Raw genomic sequence first — 5,765 nt, forward strand, 5'->3', positions numbered from 1 at the left:
TGGAATCAGAGGCTTTCCTCAAACTTATTTGACCAAGAACCCCTTTTTAAGAAACATACTTATGGGATTAATGTTTCTTGGAACCCATTTTGGGATATGCTGCTCTGTGAAAGCCAACAAAGGACACCTGAACTAAGATTCATCTCAATTATCACTCACTGGAAATATGCTGTGTGTCAGGTACAAGACTTCTGTCCTCAAGGAACTCAAAGTCGAGTGGGGGAGGCTCACATATACCCCATATTATATACCCACAATATATATAAAATGCATGATGTGTTTTGGGAACAGCAAGTGGCTCATGTGGCTACAAATAAGAATGTAGATTGAGCAATGAGAGTGGCAGGTGATAACGCTGGCAAAGCACACAGAAGTAATTATTACTGATGTTATTAGCTACCATCTATTGAATGCATGCTATTTGTTAAGCATCATGCTAAGTATCTTACATGTATCACATCAATAAATCCTCTCTACAGTCTCATAAGGTTGGTACAATTATCATCCACATTTCGCAGATGCAAAAACAGAGGTTTAGAGAAGGCTAATAACTTACCGAACGTCTCATGCTATCTAAATGGCAAAGCCCATACAACCCCAGACCTACCAGAGCCCAGGTCTGTGTGCTTAACCATTGTGGTAATGGGCTTCTTAAACCTTGTGAGCTGTTTTAAGAATGTGGACTCCACCAGGAAAGCCTTGAGGAGGCTTGGAAGGTTCTACATCTTTTCCTCTCTTATGACAAATCTTCAAAAATACTTTGAGTCAAAGCCATACACAAAACAGAAGAAAACGACACTTGCTAAACTACCAAAACCACAACCGCCTTGCAGAGATGCTCATGAGTCAGAGCCTCCAAATTGCCTGGGGATTTTCCAATGAAAGGCTCTTATGTGTCTGCAAGGAACTCTCCTGCTGGGTTATCTTCTTCAATCACTGTTTCTTAGCATTGCATTGCTGCACCATGAAAATCTTGCTTTAGTTTACCTTCTTCAGAGAATCCGCCTCTCCACATTCTGTCTGTCATGTGGGTTTACTGAGAGCTAACTTTCAAAGTCATGCATTCTATGGTAAGTGTATTTTAAACCATGCAGCATCACATTAAAAAGAAATGGCAGTCATTCTGCCCTGGAAACTGTTCCCTAGCATGACATTACTTTAATTCACTGGCTCCTTGTAATCAAGATCTAATAAACAGCACCTTTAAATAAGTCCTACACACAGCCTGCATTGTTACAATCAATTGAACTACTTAAAAAAGAAAACCTCTGAGGCTATCTGGAGGCATTCTGTGCTTCCCTCTGTTTTATGGCACAACCTTAGACACGATGTGTAAAAAGGTCAAGACAGCATGTAGGCTTTTGCATTAAACAGCAGAACACTAATTAGTTTTAGTGACAATGGGGTTCTGTTAGTGTGTTCTAATATTTTGATGCTTAGTTTTCTTTGAAACCTCCAACCATAATACACAAAAGTTCTTCTATCTTCCCGTTTTTCTTATATCTTGACTTTTCAACCCCATCATCTGTTTGAACTAAGCATGTATATTTTCCATTTCTTTATTTTCATTAAAAGCCTGTTCTAAAATTTCATTTCAAAACAGCTCACTTAAAAGACAATTTAATGTGGAACCTAATTTTTTCTATTAGTTTTAACCATGTTTTGAAATCTCAAATGTAAATTGTGTTAAAACAACTGTCAATTGGCTTTAATATTTATGCATATTAACTGTCCAGAGAAGGTATACTATGCTATAAATAGTATAGCATTTATACTATTTATATATATAAACTGCTGAGTGTTAAAATTTTTTAAAAACAGATTTCCACATTCCTGAACTCTATTTTAAATTAGTAGGAGAAATAATATAGTTCTTCAAAACCAAAGTGTTATTATTTTTAGGTTTTCATTACTATGTTTGTATCTGTATTCTTATCCTTTTTCTAAATATAGGTAATTACCAAAAACATTTTCCAGGAGAAAGAATGCAACTGAAGAAAATAACACTATCTGACACTTTATTAACAAATTGATATCTCTTCAAAATACCAATAACTATAAGTAATTTTAGTACAGTGTACCTTTCTATAAAATAAATGACAAACTGAATGAATTTTCCTCAGCTAACTTAGGAATTGCCAGTTCCTTACAAGACAGATTTATGCCACATTTGGTATCATTTACTGTTTTTTAAAAAAGAGTTTGAGGCCATAAGCTTACAGTGGTCACCCTCTTTTCAAAAGGTTATTGGGCTAATGCTCTAATAATATCTTCTGATGCTGTTCTCCTATGGGATTAAAAGCAATCAAATCTGTAGGTGGGAAAAAAAATTCACATTTTTCTTTGTTCCCCTTAGCCGACTTGGCTATGGTCTACAGAAGCCGAACTTTCATTAAAAGAAAATAAAGTTTCTAGCCCTTCATCCTGTAAAGATAGCATCTTTATACCGTAAATCAATACACTGCCGTTTGGTTTGCTCTCTGGCTAGACAGACCAAAACAATATAGCATTAAGGGAAGTGGGAGCATCCCTTCCAAGCCATTTGTCTTAATGGAGTGCCCACTTCAAAACTGACTTCTTACTGCTTCCATGATGCCAATTTAATTGCTATCAAGCCAGACCAAAAGAAACAAATCCAGTTATAAAGCCAATTCTTTGTAACCAAAATGGGATATATGTGAGTGTGCTGTAGACTGCTTACCATGTGCCAGGCACTGTACTAAACACATAAATGCATTTATTTATTCATAAATGAATAATTGCCTTATTTCATCCTGTTAGGTAGTTATTATTTCTAATTTCCATTTTATAGAGGAGAAATCTGAGACTCAGAGAGGTTAAGTAACTTGCTAAGGTCATAGAGCTCATGAGGTGGAGTAGCTGGGGTGCGAACCCAAACCTATCCAACCTCAGATTTTAGCCTCTTAACCACGATATCATGTTGTCTAGCAAAAGCAATAAACTAATTCTTATTTCATTTAGATTCTGTGCTATTTCTAAACAAACATTTCCAAGAATTTGCCCAACAATAACTATTATGAAACAGAATAATATGGTATTTTTTGGCCCATATATCTTCTGTATGCAACAAAAGTGACACTCAAATCTTGAGGCATCTTTACTTCAAGGAATAGGGAAAAGCACACAAAATGTAGGGTCAAACTAGCTGTGTAACTTGGGCAAGCAACCTCACTGAGATTTACTTTCTCATCTGCAAAATGGTGGTAATAATAGCTATCTACCGGGATCATCATTAGGATTATAGCTAAAAATTGATCAAACACTAACTCCATGCCCAGCACTGTGCAGGAACTTTGCTCAGATTGTCTCTTTTCTACAACTTTTGTCAATTAAGTATTTTTTTAAAGAGTAAACTATATTGTCTAATTTAATGCTCACAATGACCCTCTGTGGATTTACTTATCCTGACACATATTCGTCCATTCATTCAAAAATATTTACACCAACTGCTGGGTGTTAAGAATGCAACATTATTCATGAGAAGCATGGCCACTGCCACCTCAATTGGCAATAATTAATAATGACAACAATACAACTTTGGTGCTTTGGTTTTTCCTAGGTTTTTGATAGGGATAGGAGCCTCAGTTTACAAACTAAAGTTAGGGATTCTCTACTTGGCCTGCCAGTCTTTCAAGTAGTTGATACAGAGTACAGCCGTGTTGGATAAATGCTGTACTTGAGTTTTTATTATTGTCTGAGGCCTTTTACCTATCACAAGCAATGCTTCCTGATAAAAGTCTTCTCTATTCACTAGGCTAGAGTAAATTCCTTACCATTCCTCCAAAAAACATCCCACACGCCACCCCCAAATTTGTTTTTTGTTTGCTTGGTTGGTTTTGGTGTTTTTGAAACAGGTTCTCACTCTGTCGCCCATGCTGAAGTACAATGGTGCTATCTCAGCTCACTGCAACCTCTGCTTCCCAAGCTTAAGTGATCCTCTAGGCTCGGCCTCTCAAGTAGCTGGGACTACTGGAGTGCACCACCACACCCGGCTAATTTTTGTATTTTTGGTAGAGACAGGGTTTTGACATGTTAACCAGGCTGATCTTGAACTCCTGAGCTCGAAGCCTTCTGCCTACATCTGTCTTCCAAAGTGCTGGGATTACAGGCATGAGCCATGACACCCAGCCCCGAATTTGTTAATTGGATACTCTCTGCCTGAAATTCCTTCCCGTCCTTCTTGTTTTCCAGATCTACCCATTGTTATTCATTAATCCATTTAACAAATATTTATTGAGTGCCTACTGTCTGCCAGGAACTGTTCAGGGTGCTTAGGATTCAGCAGCAAGAAAAAAAAAAAAGTCAAAAAATCCCTAACCCCATGGAGCTTACATTTTTGTGTGATAATTAATCATTCCTTAATCATTCTTTATACACCTGTAGCAGAAAATGGCACATTCTGAATATTGTATCCTCAGTATGAACTGAGGATAGAAATGGTTGATGGCCACAAGGTTTCAAACACAGCACTAGCAATACGTTTGTCCATATTATTCACTAGAGAAACCCATTTCTCTAGTGAGGACATACACAGAACTCTGGTTTCTGAACAACAATAACCTTGTGAAGTGGGTAAATGGACTAAGTCACCCCACTTTTGGCTAAGTCAAGGATAGGGGAAAAACAGAACTAAAGATCCTTCCATGTTTCTGCCATTCCCTTTCCAGGGAGCCACCCTGTCTTGGCAACTTGATGATTCAACCCACTTCCTTTTTGGTCCTATTTCATCATCACATGGTGCTTAGTGCCTCAGCCATAATCCCCTGATGGTAAAGGGGGCCAGGAAGTGGGCATGCTGAAATATACCTGGCTCTGAAAATCTGGATTGGTTTTTGGAAAAGTCTAGACCTCCAACTTAAAAACAAACAAACAAACAAACAAAAACCAAAAACAAAACCCACAAATAAACTGTATTTTAATAGTGACTCAGTAAATTATCTTTCAGGAATGTAACTACTAGAGCATCACAATACCCAATATGTCTTGGTTCCTAACTCAATATTTTTAATTACTTGCCTTTATTGGTCAGATAAAATGTAGAGTCAAGTTTCAAGCAATACCTTTTATTGGACTAATGGTGGAACATTGACAGATAAGCTTTGGGGATATAGAAAATTCCCCTCTAGGTCAGTGAGGGATTGACTCTGAGGAAAGGATTTCTGTAAGCAGAGAAGCCTCTCTGTCAATATTGTACAGTTTGTCCAATAAAAGGTATTACTCAAAAGATGGTGGGTGTTTCGCTTTGACGTTTAAGAAAAAAAAATGAGTCTTGTGAACTAAAGATGTTATTATGTAGGACGGATCTTATAGAAGTCATCTGATTTTTCTAAACCTCCATTTCCTCATCTTAGAATCTATCCATCTACTTCATAGGGTTATCAGATGTTATTAGCTAATGTTTGTAAAAACATTTTTATAATTGGAAAGTATGATAATATGTGCTATAGTTATCATTCATCATTAATATGACTAAACAATGAATGCCAATAAACTTAACAGATATCAAAGAGATGCTAATACTGCAAGTTACCACAGTGAGAGTCCTTTCAAATTCCTATCTCGACACTGATGATTCATAGTGTTTGTTCAAGTCAACAAAATGCTTCTGAGTCCCTACTATGGGCTAGACATTAATGTTCCATCAGCACTTTCATTTAGAGGAAGAAGCTGTTTATAAATAAAACATGTAAAATGTCATGCATGGGGAAAGATAGCATGCATCCTATAGCCTTGTAGCACCTGTG

The 5,765-nt window shown here is 37.0% G+C and overlaps 1 annotated feature.

Moving 5' to 3' along the window:
* Positions 742 to 942: a silencer, noted in NCBI's record as "peak269 fragment used in MPRA reporter construct". NCBI's record gives its function as "represses an SCP1 promoter by STARR-seq MPRAs in K562 erythroleukemia cells {active_cell/tissue: K562}" and the evidence as "EXISTENCE:reporter gene assay evidence [ECO:0000049][PMID:32103011]".

This window comes from Homo sapiens, chromosome 1 (assembly GCF_000001405.40).
Source record: "Homo sapiens chromosome 1, GRCh38.p14 Primary Assembly".
NCBI lineage: Eukaryota > Metazoa > Chordata > Mammalia > Primates > Hominidae > Homo > Homo sapiens.